At 46.7% G+C, this 26,812-nt stretch overlaps 1 protein-coding gene across 4 annotated transcripts in view, besides 2 other annotated features; it reads left to right on the forward strand.

Moving 5' to 3' along the window:
* FLNB (filamin B) overlaps positions 1 to 26,812 on the forward strand; it is a 163,830-nt gene that overhangs the window by 88,897 nt on the left and 48,121 nt on the right. For all 4 annotated transcript variants that reach the window (NM_001164317.2, NM_001457.4, NM_001164318.2 and 1 more), the window contains exons 7-21: positions 497 to 659; positions 1,393 to 1,590; positions 4,885 to 5,022; positions 6,641 to 6,767; positions 7,762 to 7,898; positions 9,362 to 9,555; positions 11,140 to 11,253; positions 11,861 to 12,004; positions 12,258 to 12,381; positions 12,692 to 12,852; positions 14,473 to 14,563; positions 14,831 to 15,000; positions 21,554 to 21,671; positions 23,923 to 24,185; positions 25,775 to 26,372. In NM_001164317.2, coding sequence (NP_001157789.1) covers positions 497 to 659; positions 1,393 to 1,590; positions 4,885 to 5,022; positions 6,641 to 6,767; positions 7,762 to 7,898; positions 9,362 to 9,555; positions 11,140 to 11,253; positions 11,861 to 12,004; positions 12,258 to 12,381; positions 12,692 to 12,852; positions 14,473 to 14,563; positions 14,831 to 15,000; positions 21,554 to 21,671; positions 23,923 to 24,185; positions 25,775 to 26,372 — 2,740 coding nt within the window. The remainder of the gene's footprint in view (positions 1 to 496; positions 660 to 1,392; positions 1,591 to 4,884; positions 5,023 to 6,640; positions 6,768 to 7,761; positions 7,899 to 9,361; positions 9,556 to 11,139; positions 11,254 to 11,860; positions 12,005 to 12,257; positions 12,382 to 12,691; positions 12,853 to 14,472; positions 14,564 to 14,830; positions 15,001 to 21,553; positions 21,672 to 23,922; positions 24,186 to 25,774; positions 26,373 to 26,812) is intronic.
* Positions 14,464 to 14,733: an enhancer, noted in NCBI's record as "active region_19999". NCBI's record gives its function as "activates an Ori minimal core promoter by ATAC-STARR-seq in GM12878 lymphoblastoid cells {active_cell/tissue: GM12878}" and the evidence as "EXISTENCE:reporter gene assay evidence [ECO:0000049][PMID:35858748]".
* Positions 19,025 to 19,174: a silencer, noted in NCBI's record as "silent region_14485". NCBI's record gives its function as "represses an Ori minimal core promoter by ATAC-STARR-seq in GM12878 lymphoblastoid cells {active_cell/tissue: GM12878}" and the evidence as "EXISTENCE:reporter gene assay evidence [ECO:0000049][PMID:35858748]".

Consider the following 26,812-nt stretch of genomic DNA (forward strand, 5'->3'; position numbering starts at 1 on the left):
ACCCAATTACCCCCCAAAAATTTCAGAGATGAGAACAGTGACTCAAGTTTTAGATGGAAATCATTCTACTTTGTCCCAAATCCATGTATCTAAGAATGATTTTCGTCCCTTGAAAAAACAGTTTGGCTGTGGATTTGAAATCCTGGAACTGCATATTTTATTCTGAGGGATAGTGGCCCATTCAGCCCCCGAAAGGACTCAATGTCCAGAGATTGAAATGTGTTTGTTTCCTATTAAAGAGACTAAGTGTATATAAGGTCAGCATTTTTATTTTGCTAAAGGTGTGATGTCCCAGACCCAGCTGTATGGCTGAAGGGGCCAGGTGGGAGTCCCATTCAGGCTGTTAAACTTGGTTCCAGGGCTCCTTATTCTAGACACCTTGTGTGTGCCATCATGGGAGGGTAGGAGAGGTGATCATCAATGTATGTGGCTTGATGTCAGTCTTGCTGGGCACAGAGAAGTGATTATGTATTTCTCACCTATCTGTCACCTATAGGTCACAGTCCTCTTTGCAGGACAGCACATCTCCAAGAGCCCATTTGAAGTGAGTGTTGACAAGGCCCAGGGAGATGCCAGTAAAGTCACTGCAAAAGGTCCAGGGTTGGAAGCTGTAGGGAACATCGCCAATAAGCCCACCTACTTTGACATCTATACGGCAGGTAACGTGCCTCTCCTCCATGGATCTGACCTTTGCGCTTTCTTCCAGAGGCTGAAATATAATCCTCGGGGACTTGAAGGCCTGACCTTTTGTCTTTTAAATCAAATAAATAATCACAAAGACAATTTTTTCAAATGTGTTATATTAGATTTTTCAAAACCAGCTTTTCTTCTCTAAAATACTCAGGCTTCACTTGAATAAGACATACTTCTTGAATTGTTGGCTTCTTTTCCATGTAGTAAATAGAAAATGCAGAAGAAGGAAACATTCAACCATAAACCCTTCAACCCCTAGAAAATAGTTGTTAACATCTTGGTGTGGACCTCTCTGAGGGCCTGTCTCCTGTTTACTTGTTTTGTTGTTGTTGTTGGGGGAACAGAGAATCACTCTATTGCCCAGACTGGAGTGCAGTGGCGTGATCTTGGCTCAACGCAACCTCCGCCTCCTGGGTTCAAGCGATTCTCATACATCAGCCTCTCAAGTAGCTGGGATTACAGGCGTGCGCCACCATGCTTGGCTAATTTTTGTATTTTTTTTAGTAGAGACGGATTTCACCATGTTGGCCAGGCTGGTCTCGAAATCCTGACCTCAAGTGATCTACCCACCTCGGCCTCTCGAAGTGCTGGGATTACAAGCATGAGCCACCACACTGGTCCTGTTTGCATTTTGCACTCAGCAGCAGTGAGCTTTCAGAGAGGGTGACTTGGGCTCATGGAATGCTTGCTTTCTTGTAGGAGCTGGTGTGGGTGACATTGGTGTGGAGGTGGAAGATCCCCAGGGGAAGAACACCGTGGAGTTGCTCGTGGAAGACAAAGGAAACCAGGTGTATCGATGTGTGTACAAACCCATGCAGCCTGGCCCTCACGTGGTCAAGATCTTCTTTGCTGGGGACACTATTCCTAAGAGTCCCTTCGTTGTGCAGGTTGGGGAAGGTGAGTGCTGGGCTGCTGGCCACATGTGCTTCTCATAGGGAAGCTGACTGCACAGCTGGGCAGGGAGGCCAGGAAAACAGTCAGGGCCCAACATTGACCTTATGCCTATCCCTTTTCTGCCAGGGCTACTTCAGCAGTAAGTGGCTTACTTTGTCCTCAATATATTAATATTAATATCTTCTATGAGCCACGCAGAGACCTAAATGCTTTGCTTATATTAACTCATTTACTTCTCTCCAAAACACATGTACAGGAGAGTAATTATCCTCATGGAGGGAGGTGGGACTGAGGCAGTGGGAGGACTCGGTAGCATAACTGAAGTTAGCAGCAGCAACATGGGCCCTGCAGCCTCCATTGCTTGGCCTTTACTGGCCCAGGCACTTACCATGACTGCATCTAATCATTGCACCAGCCTGTGTGTTGCAGGTGCTATTATTATCCCTAGCTTGCAGGTGGAGATGCTGAGGCTTAGATAGCGTTAGGTATCAGTACTACAAGGCATCAGCAGGGCTAGAACCACAGACTCTGTTGGCCTTACCCTTAACTACTCTGCTAAACTCCCTCTGGCGCTGGGGGTACGCATTTTTCTCAAATGTTAGACTCTCTCCCTCTGACTTTGTTGCCCCTTTTTTTCTGTTTTGTTTTGTTTTGTTTTGTTTTCCAACTGTACTACCTTTTCTAACCCACACTTGCCTTTCCCTGTTCTGTCCTCTGAATCTGCGTCTGCAGACGTGGCTTCCTCTTCCGAATCCTACCTCTGGGCCAGCCTGGACCCTGAAGCTGTTGGCTTCCTAGTTGAGACCACTGGGCCAGAGGCCTCTTGCTTGGTAAGGGCTGGTTGGGTGGGACTTCCTTGCCAGTTCTTTGTGCTGCTTGTGAATGTTAGCTGGGCCCGTGTTCTGTGTGATTTTAGGAAACTCTGTGCAGGTGTTATTATTACAGCCTGTCCAGCCGGAACCCAAACCCACTGTCTAATTGCCTTTAAACACATCTAGGGCTTTTTTAGATGGTGAAGGAGCTGGTGGTGCCCTTCAGACTCTAGCCCCATTTAATGTTTATATGAACTCAGCAATTACTCTTTTGATGTTGAGACTGTTGCACATGTTCATAATTTCCATGAGTGTGTGTGTGTTTCTTAAGACACATTAAAGCCCTCCGAGGAAGTCCTGTCATTGTATTGTGACTGACTTCTGGTATGACCAACTTTTCTCCCCTTGACAAAGAAAAAACAGGCAAAAAAAATTCTAACATATTCCTAAGCAAAGCTCTTTTTTACATAAGAGAGCATTTTGAATAGCTTTCCTAATTCTACTATTGTTTTCCAACCTTTCCTCACTCGTGGACTTCCTTTTTCTTTTCTGGCCTGTACATCCTATACTATTTAGCATTTAATGAATAACCTTTTTCTTTTAATTTACTAACATCCTCTCTCCCACCTAAATGATTTTACATATGTAAAAAAAAAATATATATATATTTGCAGGGGCGCGGTGGGAAGGATACAGGGTCTCACTCTGTCTTTTGGGCTGGAGTGCAGTGGTACCATCATGGCTCACTTGTAGCCTCGACCTCCCAGGCTCAAATGATCCTCCCACTTCAGCCTCTTGAGTAGCTAAGACTGTAGATGTGCGCCACCATGCCTGGTTACATTTTTTACCCTTTTTTTTTCTTTTTCTTTTTCTTTTTTTTTTTGTTTTGTTTTGTTTTGAGACAGAGTCTCACTCTCTCACCCATGCTGGAGTGTGGTGGTGTGATCTTGGCTCACTGCAGCTTCTGCTTCCCTGGTTCAAGTGATTCTTGCCTCAGCCACCTGAGTAGCTGGGACTACAGGTGCACACCACCACGCCTGGCTAAGTTTTTTTGTACTTTTAGCAGACACAGGGTTTCACTATGTTGGCCAGGCTGGTCTCGAACTCCTGATGTCAAGTGATCCACCTGCCTCGGCCTCCCAAAATGCTGGGTTTACAGGCATAAGCCACCATGCCTGACCTAATTTTTCTTTTTTTTGTAGAGGTGGGGTCTCACTCTGTTGTCCAGACTGGTCTTAAACCCCTGGACTCAAGCAATCTCCCCGCCTCAGCCTCCCAAAGTGCTGGGTTTACAGATGTAAATTATTTTATGTTAAAAGAAACTTTATATCACTTTCACAATGGAAAACCAAAGTCACTTGCCATAAAGTGCCACCGTAAGCTTATGTTCATCCATAAACCATCTAAAATCATCTCTAACTCCAAGGGTATGTGTATGACTCTTTGGGAAGCAGTTGTTTGCCAAATAGCCAGCTAAGGCCATTGCAGGAAGGAGGAACCAGAGGAGGAATTACCTTCCGTCTGTGGAGTAGAGTCCCGTCTTCTGGAGTCTGTGACCTTCCTGTATAGAGATTTGTCAAATTTTCAGTGTTAGATTTGGAAAGGAAAAGCCACTTAATAACATGACATTTTCCCCACTAGTCTCCCGTTTCTATTTACTGAAAAGGTTGTCCGTGCTGGGCAGAAGATTTATTCTAGGGCATAAAGGTATCTTTTATCAACCTCTAGATACCATGGAACAGTAGTTCTGTGGACATTTCAAGTAAGGCATATTGGAAGCTATCTTCGCCCTTAACTTTTAGACTTACAACTCTAGGTTTTCAAGCTAGACCCGGAAATGAAATCAGCAATGGTGTTTACTGCTAATTATTGCCTTTATAGCCACCCACATTCTGAAGGCCTTGTAACAGACAGCACGAAAAGATTGGTCTGCCTCAGCCAAGGTGGGGCTGAACTGGTCTCTTTCCAAGCTGTGTTGGTTGTTTTTGCCTGGTTGTTCAGGCGGAAGACAACAACATTTAGACACTTAAAAATGGCTGACCCAGGTTTTGGAACCCAGACAGGCATTTTCAAGTACTGCATTTTCCAAGAAGACTTGAAAAAGTCCAGTCTATCCAATTACTGAGCCCTTGAGTATGGCAGTGAGGTTTGAATAATGTCCAGCACTCGGCCTTAACTCCCTTTCACAAATGAAAGGTTAAATGCTGGAAGCAGGAGCACAGCATGGATTTGCTGTGCTCTCCTGTTTTCTTTGCCAAAGTCACTTTTCTCCAGTCCTTCTGTGGTGTCACTGGACAAAGTTATATTGTGTCTGTATTTGCTAGCCTGGTGTGCTCCCTGAGTGGGACCCCTGGTCTTGGGCAACTACTGCATACTATTTGTGCAAAGCAAATATTTTCTTGGCGGGTGGCTCCAGGTTACCTTGGCTTTCACGACTCTGACTAAAGAATGAAAGATTGAATTGATGTCAAAACTGTGCTTGCAGCCTGCAATCCAAATGCCTGCCGGGCCAGTGGCCGAGGCCTACAACCCAAAGGCGTCCGTATCCGGGAGACCACAGATTTCAAGGTTGACACCAAAGCTGCAGGAAGTGGGGAGCTCGGTGTAACCATGAAGGGTCCTAGTAAGTGTTCCTTTGTTTCTCTATCTCAGGTGTGGTTTTGGCTAACTTTGCAGCCATGGCATATGGATTTCATCCCACGGCCAGTTGTCCTCAATAATCCCAGAAGGCTATGTCAAGGATTTGAGGCTATCTGGGCTCCTTGGGGAAGACGGCAGTGATTGATTAGTAATGTCTGCCCTGGATGCGGCCAGTGGGTGGCTTGACAGCTTTACATTACATCAAGACTTCTGGGAGTAGAAAAAGCAGTGATGTAAAGGAGTTGGGGAAATGCTGCTGTTGGAACAAGTGGCTCATTTTTTATTTTAGACATCTGGGCTCAGAGAGGAAGGCTCTTGCCTAAGGTCATACAGCGTTTGTAATCATCTGAGCTGGAATTCAAGCACAGTCTCCAAAGCCAGTGATTTTCCCACTACAGGTTACATTTTATAGAGTATGAAATTATGTCAAGTACTTAATTACTATGATCAGTGCTTATAGAAGGAGAATAAAATTCCCTAAGATTAAGTTTTCTTTGTAGATAAATGCCATTTGTGGAGGTACAGGTTAAACCCTGCAACCCATTCTCTCTCCCTCTTTTGGGGAAGGAGACAGCAGATGTGGGGATGGGTGTCTTCACTTTTTTCGTTGGAACAGAGAAGCATTTCAGCACTTCTAGTCTCGGGTGTAGCAGCCTTTGGTGGTTTTACTCCCATGCCTGTGGAATCTTGAGCTTCCTGTACCAGGATTGCTCTTACCTTCTGTGTTCCCAACAGGCTGGGGCAGGAGCATTCTGAGCTCCAGAAAGTTAATATTTGACTTCACAGCACCAGGCTTTGGGTCAGGCTGTGCCCTGAGGGTAGCCGAGGTTCTAGACTGCCCAGACCTGGAGTCAAGCTGCTTGGGGACTGTCTTCCCTCCCAGATTATTCCAACAGGAGCCAAGGAGGGTGTGTGTGTGTGTGTGTGTGTGTGTGTGCACGCGCGTGCATGCCTCTGCGTATGTGTGCGTACGTGTGTGTTTTCTCCTGACCTTGAATACTTGCTTGACTCAACGGCTTTCCTGGCCAAACCTCAGGGCTCAACACAAAACAAGTTCCTGCCTGATGGCTGGGTTTGGAGTTTGCAGCGTCACATCTAAAACCTGTCCTCTTGCAGATAGCGTCTGAGGACTTTCTTGCTTTTGTTGTCCAGCTTTAGATGGAAAAGTATACGCTGGAACACTGAACCTAAAACTCATACCAAATACTTCTAAAGGTTTACTTCTTCCCCAGTTTTTGTGGGGGACTAGGAAGGGTAGCTATGATTATTGGGAAATACTGAAATGTGACTGGATTTATCTTTATGCAGGCCCAGGGAGTTCAGGACCTCAGGGCCCCTCGTAGCCAAGCAAGATTTCTAAAGCCAATTAGCTGGGAAATCCTCCATTTCCTCATACCTTGAAGCAGAGATGGCTGTGTTTTTAGCTTTGAAATAATCTCCCAGGCTTTGAGGGGAGAGGTCCCATACTCTGGGGCAGCCCACTTGGTTTTTATGTATGGTTTATGTTTTGTTCAGTGTGGCTGCCTCTCTGTTCTTGTCCTTTTGATTCTCATTTTGGGCCTAGGATTGTGTTGGAAAGATTATCTCCTTCCTTCCCACAGAGGGTCTGGAGGAGCTGGTGAAGCAGAAAGACTTTCTGGATGGGGTCTACGCATTCGAGTATTACCCCAGCACCCCGGGGAGATACAGCATTGCCATCACATGGGGGGGACACCACATTCCAAAGAGGTGAGGCTCCTGCTGCAGAGGGGTCTTCTCTGGAGGGTGCTCGGCCCAGGGCGGACTCATGGGTAGTTGCTTCCCGGGCTGCAGGAGGGAAAGAGATCTGCTTTGTTGAAAACTTTTTTTTTTTTTTTTTCGGAGCAGCACAGACATTTGGCCTGTTCTCAAAAGCAGCAGAAAGTTGCTGTGGTTTTAGCTGACTTGCTTTAAATCAAATGCTGGTGGTTAGGGGCTGGTGGGAGGCAGGGGAGGCAGAAGGAGCAGTTAGAGCAAATGGGCTGTGTGTCTAGATGCCCGCATATAAACTGAGATTCTCTTTTTCAATGAACTCCTTTGTTCATGAATGCCACGGGGCAGAATCTGCTGTGGTTTACATTAAGACCGTCTACGTGAGTGCTGTCAGGGGCCAAGGGACGCAGTCTACAGCTTTGCCTTGTGGGCATTGCACTTGCCCCTCTGCGTTCTGTGTTTTCCAGCTCCCCTGGAGGTGCAACTTTAAACTCCGAATAAATTCAGTTAGCCTTGAGAAATATTTGGGCATTATTGGGTTCCGAATACCTACCACGCTTTTTTTTTTAAGCCTCCCATGCCAAGGTTACAGCACATTCATTCATGTATGAGATAAAGCCCATTCAACCAAGTTTTCTGGTTATAGCATAAGCAGGATATAGTGTGTGGACTCTCTCACTTTCCAGGGTCATAGTCTGGGGAGGCCTGCACACAAAGGTAAAGGGCCAGGAGGCTGGTGCAAAGCAGCGTGGCTTGAGTGCCAACCCAGTGGCCACCTGAGCTCCCAGAAGCAGTCACATTACATTATATTGTTGACATAACAGTAGCTATGGGTGAGAGGCCTGCAGGAGGAAGGGCTTGGCTGCAGTTTGGGATGCCAGATGAAAGGATCAGGCAAGTGGAAAGAATGTGCAAAGGAACTGCAGCTTATGGCTATAGTGACACCTTACTTTACTCTTCTTTGATGCTTCTTCTATTCCTTTCCCTGTAGCCCCTTTGAAGTTCAAGTTGGCCCTGAAGCGGGTATGCAGAAAGTCCGTGCTTGGGGCCCTGGGCTCCATGGTGGGATTGTCGGGCGGTCAGCGGACTTCGTGGTAGAATCCATTGGCTCTGAAGTGGGGTCTCTGGGTAAGTGGACACAGCTGACCAGCATCTTCTGGAGGACTGAGGATTACAGGGCTTCCGGGCTGTGTCAGGCTGGATGTTGGGGCCTTGCCTAGCCTCAATACCTTTAGCTTCCTGGCCTCCTGGCCACCCTAAGCCATCTCTGCGTGCTGCTGTACATTTGCAGTTGCCTCTGATACCAGCATTGATTCATTCAGGAGACCTTGAGGGCAGAAACCTTATGTGGGTATTGTGCCTAAAACAATGCTTGGAACGTAGTAAACACTTAGCAAATAGTGTTGACTGACCTTTATAGTTTAGATGAATGAATGAATGAATTTTGCTGAAATTTGGATTTGGAAGATAAATATTTCCTTTGGAGCACAGCTGAAGTATATTTTAAATACATGTCTAATGTATATATGATCATTTTATATCAGGAGTCAGCCAGCTTTTTCTATAAAAGGCCAGATGGCAAATATTTTCCACCTGTGGGCCTTATGGTCTCTGTCACAGTTATTTGACTCTGCCGTTGTAGCCTGAAAGCAGCTATAGGAATACGTAAACAAACGTGTGTGGCCATGTTCCAGTAAAACTTTATTTGCAAAAGTAAGCAATGGGCCAGATGTGGCCTTCAGACTGTCGTTTAGCAACCCGTTTTAGGTAATAGCAATAAGCAAAAGAGAAAAATAAGAAATCACATTTAATTTTCCCTTCTAGAGAGATGATATGAATCGTCTTGTATATTCTTAGTCTAGAGATAATATTAAGTCTTTTAGTGTATCCTTCTAGACTTTTTTCTCTATATATGCATGCAAATATTGATTTGGTACAGAAAATATCTTAGACAAGTCTTTATATCTTTATGCGTAAATATAGGGTATGCCTTCATTTTCCATAGCTTCCATGGAATTCCATTGTATGGCTCTATCCATTGTCAGGCTCTTCAGTTATTTCCAGGGTTTTGCTATAAAAACAGTGCTGACTGTGTATCCTTGGTAATTGCCTTCAGATAAAAACCCAGAAGTGGATTTGGTGGTGCTAAGAGTGGGTGTTGGTTCAAGGCTTTTGCCACATGTTGCCACATCTCCAACAGAAGGGTTTGCTGGTTGGACTTCCCCTGTTGGATGATGATAAAATACATATAATGTATTTAATACTATATATATATATATATATATATATCCTCCTGGCCTCAAGTGATCCACCTGCCTCGGCCCTCCCAAAGTGCTGGGATGACAGGTGTGAGCCACCACACCCAGCCCAGGCCTACATTTGAAAAAAAAAAAATATATATATATTTTCCACCCCTTCCATCTCTACTGAAGACTTAATGAGCTTGGTTTTGGAAGAAAGGGATACAAACAGATTTCAATCTTCTGGCCAACACTTGGCTTTTAGGGAGGCAGCGGGAATGAGCTGTCGTAACATAGAATAGGTGCTTTCCACCATATAACCAGGGAGACCCTTCCACCTCCACCCCCTAGGGTTTGCCATTGAAGGCCCCTCTCAGGCAAAGATTGAGTACAACGACCAGAATGATGGATCGTGTGATGTCAAATACTGGCCCAAGGAGCCTGGCGAATATGCTGTTCACATCATGTGTGACGACGAAGACATCAAGGACAGCCCGTACATGGCCTTCATCCACCCAGCCACGGGAGGCTACAACCCTGATCTGGTGAATCAGCTGCTGTGCTTCTGTCTTCTTGTCCCTGGCCCCTGGTTCCTCACCCCCATGCCCGAAGTTGCCTTAAGCAGCATGTTGAGAGATGGCAGAGAGGAATCATTTGGATTTTAGGAAGGAAACAGGCCTGCATTTGTTTGTTTGTTTGTTTGTTTGTTTGTTTGTTTTGAGACAGACTCTTGCTCTGTCGCCCAGGCTGGGGTACGGTGGCATGATCACAGCTCACTGGAACCTCTGCCTCCTGGGTTCAAGTGATTCTCGTGCCTTAGCCTCCCAAGTAGCTGGAACTACAGGCATGTGCCACCACAGCTGGCTAATCTTTGTATTGTTTAGTAGAGATGGGGTTTCACCATGTTGGCCAGGCTGGTCTCGAACTCCTGGCCTCAAGTGATCCACCCGCCTCGGCCCTCCCAAAGTGCTGGGATTACAGGTGTGAGCCTCCACACCCAGCCCAGGCCTACATTTGAATCCTGGTAGTAGCACTTAGCACTTTTATAGTGTTGGGCAAGTAACTTACCTATCTGACTCTTGGTGTCTTCCTCTATAAGACAGGAATGATAGTAGTCTCTGCTTCTAGAGAGCTTCTAGGATGATTCAGGAGGTGGCATGCATAAAGACCGCCTTTGGCTTATGCCTGGCCCATGCAGGGAGCTCCATAAGCTGTTATTTTCTTGCAACTCCGGGGATCATATGTCAGTCTTACAGCCATTTTCTATAGTTATTATTTCAAGGTGCTCCATAGATAAAGGATTTTTTTTTCCTAGTTCCGTGTCTCTTAAGTTGGAGCAATGTTTCCAAGAGTGTCCTCTCAAACCCTTAGCAGGCTGATAAGCATCAAGTCTGAGCCAGCCTGGCTGACAGGGAGTTGGCCCCAGAGGCCACGTGTGCTACTGTTGGCCCACACGGGCAGCTGTCCATAGGCTGATGTCAGTCTGGGCTGGTAGCTACCCCGTTTTGGCCAAATGATATTCCTTTGCCCTCTAGGGCAAATGTTGTCCGTGGTAAAGATTCTGAGTCCCCTCAAAGTGGGAACGTTGAAACTGGGCATGACTAGAGGTCTCTGCCCCAGTTGTTAGAAGTTCTTTAGGTCAACTCAGAATAAGGCAGGGAGCATGGGTTAGTTTGGGCATGGTTTTAGAACAGGGGTTTCCAATATTTTGCCTTCCCTGGGCCACACTGGAAGGAGAAGAATTGTCTTGGGCCACACATAAAATACTAATGATAGCCGATGAACAAAAACAAAAACAAAAAAAAAATTGCAAAAAATTTTATAACATTTTAAGAAAGTTTACAAATTTGTGTTGGGCTGCATTCAAAGCCATCCTGGGCCGCATGCGGGCTTCAGGCCGTGGGTTGGATTTGTTTAGAGAGTTTTCTCCCTTATGAGGGAGAGACATTTGTTTTTAAGTTACAACCTACTTTAGCACTTTACTTCCCATAACCAACCTCTTATGTGGATACTGTAAAACCAGACACAGGTCATTTTGTTCTTCCCCCACCCCCTGGTTACCTGTCTTTGTATAAGGGTTTAGTTGGGGCATTACACAGAAAGAGACTTACTATCTGCCTTTGCTTCAGGTTCGAGCATACGGGCCAGGTTTGGAGAAATCTGGATGCATTGTCAACAACCTGGCCGAGTTCACTGTGGATCCTAAGGATGCTGGAAAAGCTCCCTTAAAGATATTTGCTCAGGTAAATTTCAGGGGGCCACCTGTGCAGGTAATTGTCAGGTAACAAGATCTGACCACGTAATGGCAAGTTGCTGAGTCCATCTGATCTTCAGTTTCCTCATCTGCACCGTGGAAATGATAAGAAGATTATCTTATAGGGTTATGTGAGGGTTCAGTGAGACTACCATGTAGAGTACTGGGCTTTAAAAAAATCAGCTTTCTGATTTATATTCTGTGGAAATGAGGCTTGTTTGTTTCAGGTTATTCTATAATGTCTTTTGGTGTGGCTGAAGCTGCTGAGGCCATGGGGGGAGATTTGTAAACAAGGATTTAAAAAGTATGTTTATTTAATCTAATTGAATTTGGCCAAAGGACTTAAATGCAGGAATTGAGTGGCCAAAGCTTTGTTTTTGGGTCACTTGCTCTTAATAACTAAAAATAAATAAATGCATGTCATATTTTGTCACTGGTTGTCACCGTGTTGTGAAAATATGGCACATTGTAGTTGGTCCATGAAGTTTTGTTGTATAAGCAAGTGGTGACTTGGCTGTCTTGGGAGGCCACAGTGACCCTGTCTGATAGAGACAGTGTGAGGGCCACCTCTGGTCCTAGCTCTGGCTTTTTTGCAGGATGGGGAAGGCCAACGCATTGACATCCAGATGAAGAACCGGATGGACGGCACATATGCATGCTCATACACCCCGGTGAAGGCCATCAAGCACACCATTGCTGTGGTCTGGGGAGGCGTGAACATCCCGCACAGCCCCTACAGGGTAGGTTGTGAGGCAGAATCCTGGCTGTTTTATGGAAATGCCTGGTCATACACCAGGTCTGGGATCCATGCCTGACAGCCAAGGCAGACATATGGAAGGAACCCATCCCTGGTGGGCCTTGAATGATGGAGGGGCCCGAAGGGCAGAGTGCTCCAGCCTGCTCAGAAGAACTATTTCTAACAATGTTTTTTAATAGTATTTTACTGGGTCCAAGTGGAGGAGAACTTGATGACCTTCTCCATGTCTTCTCTAGGTCAACATCGGGCAAGGTAGCCATCCTCAGAAGGTCAAAGTGTTTGGGCCAGGTGTGGAGAGAAGTGGTCTGAAGGCAAATGAACCTACACACTTCACGGTGGACTGTACTGAGGCTGGGGAAGGTGAGAAAGGGCTTTGTTCAACCCAGTGATCATTGCTCCGTGGGGAAGGCAGTTCTTTTCATAACGTTTCAATGCCTTTTGAACTAGGAAGTAGTCCATCTGAATAGGTAATCATCTACTGAGCCTCTGAGTCATTCCTTAGTGATATCTTTGCTAATCCATCATCCCTTTCCCCAAATCCTTACTCTTTCTCAGGTTTCTTACTAGAAACTTCCCAATTGCTTTTTGAGGGTGTTAACCTGAGCTGGAAGAGATTGCACAGGACATGCTGTTTCTTGTAAGCTGGTGCTAATAAGCTGGTCTGTTCCAGGTGATGTCAGTGTTGGCATTAAGTGTGATGCCCGGGTGTTAAGTGAAGATGAGGAAGACGTGGATTTTGACATTATTCACAATGCCAATGATACGTTCACAGTCAAATATGTGCCTCCTGCTGCTGGGCGATACACTATCAAAGTTCTCTTTGCATCTCAGGTACGTGGTGGGGCCTGGGAGGAGATGGGTGGAGTAGGCCTGGATTCTCTTTGGCCACTTGTGTGCATGTCTCATCTACTTTTTGGTGTTTTGTTAGTATTATTATTTTTGAGATGGAGTCTCACTCTTTCACCCAAGCTAGAGTGCAGTGGTGTGATCTTGGCTCACTGCAACCTCTGCCTCCCAGGTTCAAGTGATCCTCCCACCTCAGCCTCCCAAGTAGCTGGGGACTACAGGCTCATACCACCACCCAGCTAATTTTTTTTTAATTTGTTTTTATTTTTTTATTTTTTTTTTGAGATGGAGTTTTGCTCTTGTTGCCCAAGCTGGAGTGCAATGGCATGATCTTGGCTCACTGCAACCTCTGCCTCCCGGGTTCAAGTGATTCTCCTGCCTCAGCCTCCCAAGTAGCTGGGATTACAGGCCACCACGCCTGGCTAATTTTTTTGTATTTTTATAGAAATGGGGTTTCACCATGTTAGCCAGGCTGGTCTCAAACTTCTGACCTCAGATGATACGCCTGCCTTGGCCTCCCAAAGTGCTGGGATTCTAGGTGTGAGCCACCGTGCCTGGCCACTCAGCTAATTGTTTTGCATTTTTAGTAGAGACGGTTGCCCAGACTGCTCTCGAGCTCCTGACCTCAGGCCCACCTGGCCTCCCAAAGTGTTGGGATTATAGGCATGAGCCACCACATTTGGCCTCCTTTTTGGTGTTTTACTGACAGGGAAGTTGTCTTGAGAACACTGCTCAATCGTTTTCTCTCTGGCTCCTTACAACCAAGAAGGAAAAAAAATTTACCCAGAGCTAAATTATTACCACTTTCTAACAAAAGTGAGGCAGTGTGTTCAGTGGTTAAAAGCAGGGGTCTGGAGAGAGACTAGTTTGTAATAAATTTTCATCAATATTTTGGTTGAAATGCAGTTAGCTTCTAGATATGTTCTACTTTGATGCCTTTGAAGCAATGACTGTGGTCTCCACCCTTAAATTTTTATAGAGAGAGGTGATTTGAAGTTTCAGGTATGCAATAGTGAAGATAGGGTGAGCAGGATCCTGAAAGAGAGAATTTTGAAATCCTAGGGATTAAAATTAACCTTACATAAAAATGGAAATCTTAGTAGAATGTTCTGTGCCTAAAGGTAGTGGTCTTGACATCCATTTAACCTCTTCTGCCTTTATTCCAATAGTCTGCAACATTCTTTTTGAAGAATTATAATCATTCTGTCTCTGATCACTTCTTGCATTTCCCCAGACCTTAGCTCTCAGCTGTCCCTGGAGGACATTTCCTTCCCCCAGCCCCATGTATTATTGTCGTTTTTGGTTTTATTCTTGTTGGCATTTTTCATCCTGAGTACTCAACATTCAGTATTAAAGGCTCAAAGTCCTCGGGTTTGTTTGTGACATCAGGGATCCAGGCATTAGAGAGTGACCTGTTATAGAAGGCCCTTTCCCAATGCTGGGCCCTTTTGGCTTATCTTACCCTTCTGTTTACCTGTGGTAATAGAAGTCTGCTCACCACTCGCTAAGTCAGAGTGATGCTAAGGTTCACCCTTTGTTGAAGGCTCCCTGAGCTCTGGCTGTTGCTTCAGGGGCTTTCCTACTAAGACTGTGTCTCTGCTACAGGAAATCCCCGCCAGCCCTTTCAGAGTCAAAGTTGACCCTTCCCACGATGCCAGCAAAGTGAAGGCAGAAGGCCCAGGGCTCAGCAAAGCAGGTAAGATGGCACGTCTAGGTTGTCCTGGGCCCCTCTGCCAGCCGGTGGCACTGGGCGTGTTTCATCCACGGCCTTGAGGAACTTCATCTCCACCAACACCAACACCAAGCTGGCAGGTTTTCTGTGCAGCTCTGATGCAGCAGTGGCTGGCCAGGCCCGTTGCTGGCTGTCATAATAGACCTGGTGCTGTTGAACCTGTCTGACGGGTTCTCAAAGTGAAACTACTCCAGCTGGTCTGTCTCCTCACTTCACAGTATATCTTTCCAGGTGTGGAAAATGGGAAACCGACCCACTTCACTGTCTACACCAAGGGGGCTGGGAAAGCCCCGCTCAACGTGCAGTTCAACAGCCCTCTTCCTGGCGATGCAGTGAAGGATTTGGATATCATCGATAATTATGACTACTCTCACACGGTTAAATATACACCCACCCAACAGGTAGGGTCCTTCTCCCCTCTGCTCCCCTGGCCCCCAGCCAGGCCCCTTTCTATGCAGTCGGTGCTGGGTCACTGTGGACACCAAGGGGTGTGAGAGGTGCTCTGCCAAAGTGCTCCCTGATGGGAGGCAGCTCCTGGCACTTTGAACCCCTCTGGGAGCACCTATAGGAAGCCCAATGGGTTCTATCAGGTGAACTGCAGAATTCCCCAAAAGCAAGCAGGAAGCTGGTCCCATATCTCCACCTTTGGTTTGCATTTTATCAGAGAAATGCTCAGTTCTTGATATTCAGGCCCTAATATCTATCTTTCTGTTACACATGTGCACACATGTGCACACACACACACATACACACACACACGTGCATTCCCTCGCGGCCTCACCAGCTGCCTTTTAGTCTTTTCATTAATTACCCACAGAAAAAGAGCTGCTACACCTTTGTGTTTCCTTCCTGGTCCTTTTAGCTTAGTTTACCCTTTTTATGAGGTGTTGGAATGAGGTCTTTTCTCAAAGAGCCAGTTCAGCCTTTCGTCCCTAAGGCCCAGCACACTATTTAGGGCAGCAAATTATTCCCCTTTACAAAATGCAGGATTTCACATGTGATCTTACCATCTAGGCTGGCTTACTCTGATTATTTCAGGCCATAAGGGCCTTAAAACTGCCTCTCTGTACAAGTTAATGTTTATTTGTTTAAAAACATTAAAAAAAATTTGTATCGTGGTAAAATACACATAACACAAAATTTACCGTCTTAACCATTTTTAAGTGTATAGTTCATTAGTGTTAAGTGCATTCATTATGTCGTGCACCCATCACCACCATCCATCTCCATAATTCTTTACATCTTGTAAAACTGAAGCCCTGTATCCATTATATTTGTTTAAAATTTTGTTTCGCTTCATGTTCACACCTCTGGGGTCTGGAGAGCAGACATCCTGGCAGAAAAGTCTGGATTTTAATACTTAAGCCTAGTGTTCGAAGTGGTTGTTCCAAGCCTCTGAGATTCCTTTATTCTTAAGGGAAATGATCCTGCTGTGTTTGAAATGCCATTTGTAGGAGAAGAAGGGCAACGCTTTCTGCAGAAGCACTGCTCAGAAGCCTTGCTCCCGTCTGGGTCCTCTCAGCGAGGAGCAGTCAAGAGTCAAGTGGGGAAGAAAGAGGATTATAGTGAGGAAGGGGTCATGGTGTAACTGTCCCCTGAGTTTGGGGGCTGCACTCCCTTGGAGATGGAATCCTTACTGTGAGAACATCCCTGCAGTGGGAGGGATTCCCTGGGCGAAGGGATTCTGTGTGTCGTGTTATAAATGTGGCCCCTTACATCCAGGCTTGCTGCTGTTTGTGCTTTCTTCCCCAAATTTTTATTTTTATTTATTTATTTTTTAGACAAAAGTCTTGCTCTGTTGCCCAAGCTGGAGTGCAGTGGCATGATCTCAGCTCACTGCAACCTCTGCCTCCCAGGTTCAAGCGATTCTCCTGCCTCAGCCTCCCGAGCAGGTGGGATTACAGGCACATGCCACCACACCTGGCTAATTTTTGTATTTTTGGTAGAGACGGGGTTTCGCCATGTTGGCCAGGCTGGTCTCCAACTCCTGGGCTGAGGCAATCCTTTCACCTCAGCCTCCAAACCTGCGGATATTACAGGCATGAGCCACTGCGCCTGACCTCAGTATTTGTCTTTTTGTGACTGATTTATTTTTCTTCCTATATGTCCTCCATGTTGTAGCACGTGTCAGAACTTCATTCCTTTTCGAGGCTGCATTCCACTGTATGTATATATGTTTTGCTTCTCTCTTCGTCTGTTTTTTGTTTGTTTTTTCTTGAGACTCGCTCTGTTCCTCAAGCTGGAGTGGCACTGTCTCGGCTCACTGCAACCTCTGTCTCCTGGGTTCAAGTGATTGTCCTGCCTCAGCCTACCGAGTAGCTGGAAGTACAGGCACGTGCCACCATGCCCAGCTAATTTTTGTATTTTTAGTATAGATGTTTCACCATGTTGGCCAAGGTTTCACCATGGGGTTTCACCATGTTGGCCAGGCCGGTCTTGAATTCCTGATCTCAGGTGATCTGCCCACCTCAGCCTCCGAAAGTGCTGGGATTATAGGCATGAGCCACCGCGCCCGGCCATCTTCATTTGTTGAAGAACATTTGGGTTGCTTCCGTCTTTTGTCTGTTGTGAATAATGCTGGGTGTACAAATATCTCTTTGAGTCTCTGCATTTAATTCTTGTGATTATAAACCCGAAATGGAATTGCTGGATCATATGGAAATCTCTTTTTAATTTTTTGAGAAACTACTATACTGTATTCCACAGTGGCTGCACTACTTTACAGTCCTGCCAACAGCATGCAAGGGTCCTGGTTTCTCCACATCCTTGCTAACATTTGTTTTTTTTCTGTTTTTTTTTTTTGTTGTTGTTGTTGTTGTTGATAGTGACCATCCTGTTGAGTGTAAGATGGTGTCTTATTGTGGTTTTGATTTGCATTTTCCTAATGATTAGTGATGCTGATCATCTTTTCATGTGCTTATTGGTCCTTTGCATATTTTCTTTGGAGAATTATCTACTTGCCCATTTTTATATCAACCTTCTTAATTTTATGTTGAGTTTTAGGAATTCTCCATGTATTCTGGATATTAGTTCCTTATCAGATAAATGATTTGCAAATATATTCTCTCACTCCTTGGTTTGCCTTTTCACGCCGTTAACAGTTCTCGTGTGCAGGTTATAAACGCGGCTTCTTATCTCCAGACTTGCTCTTCCTGTGCTTTAAAATAAAAAATCCAAAACAAAACATTCATTATTAGTAATGATAAAACTAACACTTTTATAGATAGAGCATTCTTTTCTCATCAGGCCACTCAATAGTAAGTAGGTAATTATTTTCCTGCTGATGGTTCTGAGGGTTGGTGGGAGCCTTACTACTGGGTGCACCACGCTGAATCTTCTTTGTTGCCAAATTCTCCATATTCTTTAGGAGAAAGCACCAGAAAGCCATAGCTGTCTGCGTACAATGACTGGGATCACAAGGCCATGACGTCTTCTAAAAACATTTTGTGACTTCTGCTTTATTCTATGTCTATATGCCTTTTAGTGTTTTGGCTGAGCCGTTAGAAAGTAAGTTGCAGATATCAGGACAGGGTCAGGGTTTGACCTGCATCCTTGGAAAGGACTGCAGAACCCAGTACCCCAGACGTCCCCTGCTGCTGGTTGAGGCAGAAGTGGAGATTAGGAGCCTAGGTCCGGTTTTGTCCCCTTTGAAGTAATGCTGGAGTGGGAGGCTCCTTACTTCAGAGTCACCCCAAGGTCACATTCATCCAGTTCTCTGATAGCAGCAGGTTTGAGAACTGCTGCCATGCTGAGTACTCACTTAGGGCTTTGTGTCCGGATGCTCCCAGGATGCATTCAAGGAGCCGGGTGGGCCTTGGTGGCGGTCGTTGCCACCAAGTGGCAACATCCAAGCTGCTTGAAGCCACCCACAACCCCACAACCAAGAGAAGAGAAGACCAAAGTCCTCAGGTAAATCACAAGTGTGAATGACTTGCAGGGTGGCACTGGGGTCCTTCTTGTTGTTTGTTGCTTGGAGCTGGGTTTATTGTTTCATTATTTGGGCAACTTGCAATTCTGCCTATTTTTCTATGGCAAAGAACACATTAAATCTCTCCTTAGATTGAATTTCCTTCCCACCCCCACCCCCAGCACAGAGCCTGGCCCTATAAGTGCTCTGTGTGGATTAATGGCTGTGAGTGAGCGAATAAATGACATGGCGCCTGGATTCACAAGCGGAGATGGCCTAAGAACGTTGTAATCTGGTAGAGGAGTGATGCCAACACCTCCTCATTCTCCTTTGAACTCTGTTTTCTGAAGAGCAGCTAAAAGCTCAAGACTGGGCTAAGGAAGTGTGCCCTTGGATGTGGTTAAGAGACCTGGGTCAGCCCAGAAAGCCACCCCCTGACACGGGGGAGGGAGCATACTTTGAGGGCTGACACCCACAGGCACACCTTCTCATGGTAGTTTTAGGGTATAACAGGCTGGAAATCCCCAGAAAGGTGGCTGCTTGGGCATGGGTGTGTCCTGGCCTGGTGTGGGCGCTTCCCCCTCAGAACACAGGCTGTGCCACGTGGGGAGCCGAGGTCCTGCCTGAGTAACCCAGGTCCCTGATTGCTGGTTTTGCTCCCTGACACCTGCAGGCCTGCCACTCCACCTCGCAAAGTCCCTGAGTGACAGCTTGCAGGTGCTTGCCTGCCTGGGGTGGATGAGTGATGTGGATGGCTGTAGGATCCTGTGAGTCCCTTGAGGATGCAAAAGTAGAGCGCGTTTTGCCTTAGAGGAATGGACTTGTTGGCTTGGGGCTTGAGGACCCTCCCAGAGGTCAAAGACTCGGTTTTATAGAAGGGAAGTGATTTCCCTGAGGACTTTGGTCTTCTCTTCTCTTGGTTGTGGGTGGCTTCAAGCAGCTTAAATTTCTCACCGCACGTTCCCCTGCGCAGAGCAGTTTGAGAAGCTGGTGGCAATGTCTCCATTACGTGCTGTGCTGGGAGCCACTAGGATTGGGGACCACTCCATGTAGTACTCTGGCACCTTTAGAAATCCCTGTGAGCTCACAGACCCTCACAGAGTAACAGCTTCTACCTTGAAATGTTCTTAACGTGGTGGTCCTGGCTGCTCCTGGAGGGCCCTAAAAGGGATGGTGCTGAGGGTGGCTCTCTCAGTCCCATCCTCTTCTGAGCTGTCTGGTCAGTGTCTTGTGTATGTATATTTTGAAGAATAAGATTCAGGTTTCAGAAGCATGTAGAGGAGAGTGAAACTGTCTTGCAGCCTGCGAAGTCGTGGCGAAATGCACTGGCCATCACTACCCAGACATCCCTCACTTCATAGCCCTGTTGGGGAATAAACACAGTCCATTCCTTAGTTGGGGCCTCAGGGGACACTTTAAAATGCTGTAGGCATTGTAGGTGTAAATCTCCGAGATTTTTTCCCTCCCCCTTCTTAGGTTATTTAAGGTACAGTTCATTTTCTATCTGAGTTTTTGTTTTGTTTTTGACTGGTAACAAGAGCATACTTTCTTTTATGGGATGGGTGGGCTTAACTGGAAGAGGGTTTTTCCCTCTCTTTTTTAGCACTTCAGAGAAGAGGCCAGAAAACTTTATGCGGGTGAGGGAGGAGGTATCCCCAAGACCTCTGGTTAGCCTGAGGTCTGCTTAGTGAGCCCCTGAATTGTTAGGGGCTGTGGGGAAACGGAAGCTCGGGAAGAGTTGGCACGTTGGGAATGCCACGTTGGCTGAAGTAGCGAGTCAGTCCTGCCTTAAACAGTACAAAAAGGAGACCTTTCCTGCCCCTTGGCTGGCTCCCAGCTCTGTTGAATTTGACCTGTACACATTTTACCAGGAAATGTTGTTCACATGAGGCAGGGGGCCAATTGGTTTTGTGTGCAGTGCTTAAAAATGCTGGAAAATTAATCCTCTCTTCATTGATGCAACCAGTTTTTTTTTTTTTTTCTTGGCCTTTACCCCCTTCCTTATTACAAAAGGAATGTGACAAAATATACATAGGCCAAATGCTACACCCTTTTAACACTTGATCAGCAACAGCTTTCAGCAGGGCCTGCATTCCAGCAAGGCTGCTGGATTCTTGGGGGGAACTCGTCTCTCCCTCACACTTTCCTGTTACATTATGCCTGGCCGATTGTGGTGAAGGGGATCTTGATCTACTGAGACAGCCATGAGATTTCTTGGAGCCTCGATTTGGAGGGAGGGAACTTGGCCAACCATGGAGAGAAGAAGCCGGCTGTGTGCCAGCCTGGAACCGGCGAGAGGAGAGAAATGGCGCACACATGGCTATCGCGTGCCACCCGGCCACCCGTGAGGGTGCCTGCCAATCCTGCAAGCACCATCTGCCTTCACACTTGCAATTTTATTTTCTTTCACATGGAAATGGAAGTTCAGATATTGTGCGATGGTCTTAGCACAGGTCTAGGTGAACTCTTGCAAATCCCTGTTGCAGCCTGGGGGCCTCAAACTGATTCCTAGGACAGAAATGGTTCTGTTTGGTGAGTGGCCCCAGGCCCAGCTGCACTGGCTGGCACTGGGTATGATGATGGGGAGGTGGTGTGGCAGAGCAGCTAGGACACAGATTTGGGGGCCATGGGTATGAGGCCCAGCTCGCACCCTTACCAAGGTGTGTGACTTGGGGCACGTTCCTTTACCAGTCTGAGCCACAGTTTCCTCTCCTGAAAAAATGAGATGACAGTAGGAACTACCCCTTAGGACTGTTTTGATCTTGAATTGAGGAAATGCATAAAAGCACATAGCATGGTGCTTGGTGTGTAGAAAATGCTCATTAAGTTGCTTCTGTTATTATTAGCTGCTCTTATTTGATCTAATTTTTCTGTTATTCTTGCCTTGTGGTCAAAAGCTAGAAGAAATAGATCTAAGATACTTTCTACATTGATTGGAATCAAGTCTCCCCTGTCCGTGAGAAGAATGAGGGATCTTGAGGGGATTTTAAATGCCAAGTTAGCTTTTTGGTACCCAAAGGTAAACTGAGTTTTCTCTCTTGTTCCAGGGCAACATGCAGGTTCTGGTGACTTACGGTGGCGATCCCATCCCTAAAAGCCCTTTCACTGTGGGTGTTGCTGCACCGCTGGATCTGAGCAAGATAAAACTCAATGGGCTGGAAAACAGTAAGTGCCTGAATGGAGAGCAGATGGGTTGTTGATGACCCCCCAACGTGGCTGCTGGTTAGATTTTCTTCAAAAGGTGAAATTTGCAGAGAAGCAAATTCTATGTTAAGAGACTTTGCAGTTGCACAGACTTTGGTTCGAATTAAGGCCGTGGTGTGAAGTAACTGTGACTGTGTCTGCCCCTTAGCCACACCGAGACTCAGCTTTCTCATTTGTACAGTGGGGGGTGGTCGGCGGGGAGAGGTTGAGAACACCCATGGGAATATTTTGAAAATTATATGAGCTAATGGTTCAGAGGCTGGCACGTAGTCAGCCCCCTGGCATTGCAGTAGGAAGTTTTCATTAAAAAGAGAATTTGGGCTATGTTGCTTTCTGATGAGTTTCTAACTGTGCCAGCTATCCTTGGCAACTGAATCCGCACTAAGGTTGCGAGTCAAGCATAAATGCCAAATCCCTGGCACTCAGAAGTCACTACCACCACACCTCTGCCCCATCCCAATGTTCCTTTAGCTTGTTAGGGATTTTACTAGTATAAGCTCATTTCGCTTATTTTCAATTTTCTGATTATTTTTTAGTAGGGAAAATTTCAAACAGAAAAGGAAAGAGAATAGTATAACATGAACACTGATGTACTTATCACTCAGCTTCAGATGTGCAACACATGCTCATAAAATGATTTTTTTATACAAGTAAAAATATATCCATTTTTCATCTAAAAAACATTACAGTTAAGGGATAATTCCACTTTAACCCTCACCTCTCCTTCTCCCTAGGGTTAACCAAAGTTTTCAATTCAGTTTCTGTTCTTCCAGATCTTCTCTCTGCATCTATACATATAGATGTGCCTGTGGAACACATTTGGCTGTATTTATTTTGCATTAAAGTTGCCCTGCTGTATAAACCTACTTCTTCGGCCTGCCTTCCAACAGTGCATCTCGGGAATCATTCACTCCTACATCTTTTCCGTCTGTGTTTACTGCTGAGTGGCTCCAGACTGGATGTACCTCAGGGCTCACATTCACCTGGTTTCAGGCTTACTGAGGCAGGGCTGAGTGCATACCCCCAGGACGGGGCCTCCTGTATTCACCTGTGAGGGTTTCTCCAGAGTACCACTAGCAGTGCCATTAGTGAGCATCTTCCTTCACTCGTGACCCAAGTGCACAAGTTGCAAGCAAGGCCAGCTCCCAGTTGCAGAGATCCAAAGTGAGAGCTCACTGTTGGCTTTTGTGGCTGGAGCAGCCAGCTCTGAGTGTGTAAACGTCCACTGCCCAACCCTGTCATGTGTCCCCTTGTCACTCCTTTCCCCAAGACACTGAGAGCTTTGACTCCAGAACAGGAAAAGCAGGGTGCCAATTAGGAAAGCCTCTTTTCCGGTGGGAAGTAGCGATCCGGGACCTCCTTGCCTGTGGTTCGGCAGTGTCCATCTTGCCAGGCCCTATGTTCCTTCAGAGTCAAGGTTCTCTGGGTTGTGGCAGGGGCCCTGTGTTCCCAGTGCTTTTGTTTTGGGTAAAGTCCTTTCCCTGTTCTTGTCTAATCTAACACTTGGGCTTCCTGCAGCCCTGCTTTGCAGAGACCTTTTGGAAACCATCACGGTACAGTCAGTTCTCAGCACTTGCTTCAATCGGCTCGCATTTGGCAGCTCTGTGACTTCTGCTTTCTTGAGGGGGAGGGGTGCCTATAAGATGGAGTTGGCTGCCAAGAATTAGTAAATAAAACATTGACTTATGAGGGTGTTTGGATATCAAGTTAACACCAAAAGTAAGTAAATAAGAGACGACAGTGTCAGATTACAACTTTCTGGTCAGCAAAGATTGTGGGGTCAGGTAAATTTCACTTTGAGTCCCAGCTTGGCAGGCTGCTGCATATGTCACCCTGGACAAGTTACTTAACCTCTCTGAGCATCAGTTTCCCCATCTGTGAAAGCCATTGGTTAATAATAAATACCCCATAGGATTGTGGTGAAAATTAAGACAATAACCTATTTGTGCTTGGCATATAAAATGCATTCAGTAAATGATAGCCGTTATTGCTGTCATCACTAATTGATTATTGTGCCGACACTTGTTGTTACTGAGGCTGAGATGCTGATGATACTTACTCAGCTTTGCTGCTTGTCCTCTGCAGCAGCTGTTGCTTACAGTGGAGGCTGAGATAAGTCCCCGTGTCCAAAGAACCATTGCTTCTGTGCTCTGGATTGTTCCTGCTGCTGAAAAGGGTCAGCTCTTCACCTCAGCTTGTGTTTCTTTTCCAGGGGTGGAAGTTGGGAAGGATCAGGAGTTCACCGTTGATACCAGGGGGGCAGGAGGCCAGGGGAAGCTGGACGTGACAATCCTCAGCCCCTCTCGGAAGGTCGTGCCATGCCTAGTGACACCTGTGACAGGCCGGGAGAACAGCACGGCCAAGTTCATCCCTCGGGAGGAGGGGCTGTATGCTGTAGACGTGACCTACGATGGACACCCTGTGCCCGGGAGCCCCTACACAGTGGAGGCCTCGCTGCCACCAGATCCCAGCAAGGTCAGCCTTTGCTTTTGTCCCAGAACTTGTCTCATTGCTGTCAAACATGACACCATAGTCCTTCTCTGGTTCTTCCTGGCAAAGACCTTCTGAAAATCGTTTTGTGATGAAAGTTAGCACAATTCACTGTGAAAGGTCCCCTGGGTAGGTGGGTCACAACCCTGCTCCTCCTCTTGCTCTCTGACTACAAGACTTTGGTGAGGGGCTCCCTGTCCCAGAGTCTTCTTTCTTCGCTTGTTAGCATAATCACAGTCCTCACTACAAAGCCAGCCTGTAAGGGGTAGGTGAGTTAGCAAACGTGGAGGCCTCTGCCCAGCACCCAGCTCACAGACGGAGCTCACCCTCCAGAAGCTAGAATCATGTAATATAAAAATACATTATTCTGGCCAGGCGCGGTGGCTCATGCCTGTAATCCCAGCACTTTGGGAGGCCGAGGCGGGCGGATCATGAGGTCAGGAGATCAAGACCATCCTGGCTACCACGGTGAAACCCCGTCTCCACTAAAAATACAAAAAATTAGCTGGGCATGGTGGCGGGCACCTGTAGTCCCAGCTACTCGGGAGGCTGAGGCAGGAGAATGGTGTGAACCTGGGAGGCGGAGCTTGCAGTGAGCTGAGATCACACCACTGCACTCCAGCCTGGGCGACAGAGCAAGACTCCGTCTCAAAAAAAAAAAAAAAAAAACCACAAAAAAAAACATTATTCTTGGCTGGGCGCAGCGGCTCACGCCTGTAATCACTGCACTTTGGGAGGCCAAGGTGGATGGATAACTTGAGGTCAGGAGTTTGAGACCAACCTGGCCAACATGGTGAAACCCCATCTCTACTAAAAATACAAAGATTAGCTGGGTGTGGTGACGCATGCCTGTAATCCCAGCTACTCGGGAGGCTGAGGTGGGATAATCGCTTGAACCTGGGAGGCAGAGGTTGCAGTGAGCTGAGATTGTGCCACTGCACTCCAGCCTGGGCAACAGAGTGAGATTCCGTCCCCTCCAAAAAAAAAAAAAAAAGTTCATCGTCATTTCTTCATAGTAACCCTGACTCAAGGGGTTTTGGAAGATTTCCAGTGGTCTCAATGGTGTGAATCCTATGAAGGTGTCTTATTTGTTGAATTAGAGGTGAAAGCCTCCTTCCTCACTCTTTTTTAGAAACAGTTTAGTTTTATTATTATGCAGAATTTGTTGAGCAAATTGCAACAGCCCAAGCCACAGCTAGCTCCACAAGAGCCCTTCCATGAGCCCTCAACCTGGGATCTCGTGTATCTTTGTTGGAATGGACATTAGGTTTCCAAGTCCAGGCCTGTGATTTAGAAGGGTCAGGTTGGGTAGGAGAGAGGAGAGTCTTGGAGGGGCTGCTCCATGGGGGTCACACCTCTCTCCTGTGGGTTTTCGCTGGTGATTGAGTTCTGAGGCATTTGCTGCATTGACTGTTGTAGCTTTAACTCGTGTGCACGTGTGACACATAAAGCCCCAAGAGAAGGGCTGCCTGGCTCAGATGCACTTCCATGCTGATTATATGCATGGGTGTTGAAAGCAGTGCTGGCTGAGCAGCGATCCCAGTGCAGTTTGACTTTATTCTTTGCTCAAATAGGTGAAGGCCCACGGTCCCGGCCTCGAAGGTGGTCTCGTGGGCAAGCCTGCCGAGTTCACCATCGATACCAAAGGAGCTGGTACTGGAGGTCTGGGCTTAACGGTGGAAGGTCCGTGCGAGGCCAAAATCGAGTGCTCCGACAATGGTGATGGGACCTGCTCCGTCTCTTACCTTCCCACAAAACCCGGGGAGTACTTCGTCAACATCCTCTTTGAAGAAGTCCACATACCTGGGTCTCCCTTCAAAGCTGACATTGAAATGCCCTTTGACCCCTCTAAAGTCGTGGCATCGGGGCCAGGTCTCGAGCACGGGAAGGTGGGTGAAGCTGGCCTCCTTAGCGTCGACTGCTCGGAAGCGGGACCGGGGGCCCTGGGCCTGGAAGCTGTCTCGGACTCGGGAACAAAAGCCGAAGTCAGTATTCAGAACAACAAAGATGGCACCTACGCGGTGACCTACGTGCCCCTGACGGCCGGCATGTACACGTTGACCATGAAGTATGGTGGCGAACTCGTGCCACACTTCCCCGCCCGGGTCAAGGTGGAGCCCGCCGTGGACACCAGCAGGATCAAAGTCTTTGGACCAGGAATAGAAGGGAAAGGTGGGTTTCATTTAAAAAAAAAAAAAAAAAAAAAAAGACAAGCTGGGACTTAAGGGCTACCTGAAACTTGGAGCTGCAAACTCAGCCACCTGCAGGAGCCAGGTGACATATAAGGCGGTGCTCACCTGTTCCCTCTGCCTCGGGGAGTAGTTGGGGGGCCCTGGTGAAGGTTAAGCACATTGCATTTCTGGGGACCGTGCTACTCAACCCCTGTTTTCTGTTTCTCCATGGGGAACAGGACCTAGCATTGTCAGCAGAATCTCTAGTTTTTTGGCAAAGGCAGAAATCTTGATTTTTCTCTGGAAACTCAACATACAACATGTTGGCATTTAATTGGAAAAAAGTTTAAAATGTAGTGTTGTCTAACACCTGCATGCCACACAGCAGGTTAGTCTTCAACCTTTAACCTGTCCTCGAGCCCGGTGTGAGCAGTCGTGTTG

The sequence above is a fragment of the Homo sapiens genome, chromosome 3 (genome assembly GCF_000001405.40).
Source record: "Homo sapiens chromosome 3, GRCh38.p14 Primary Assembly".
In the NCBI taxonomy this organism is placed as follows: Eukaryota; Metazoa; Chordata; class Mammalia; order Primates; family Hominidae; genus Homo; species Homo sapiens.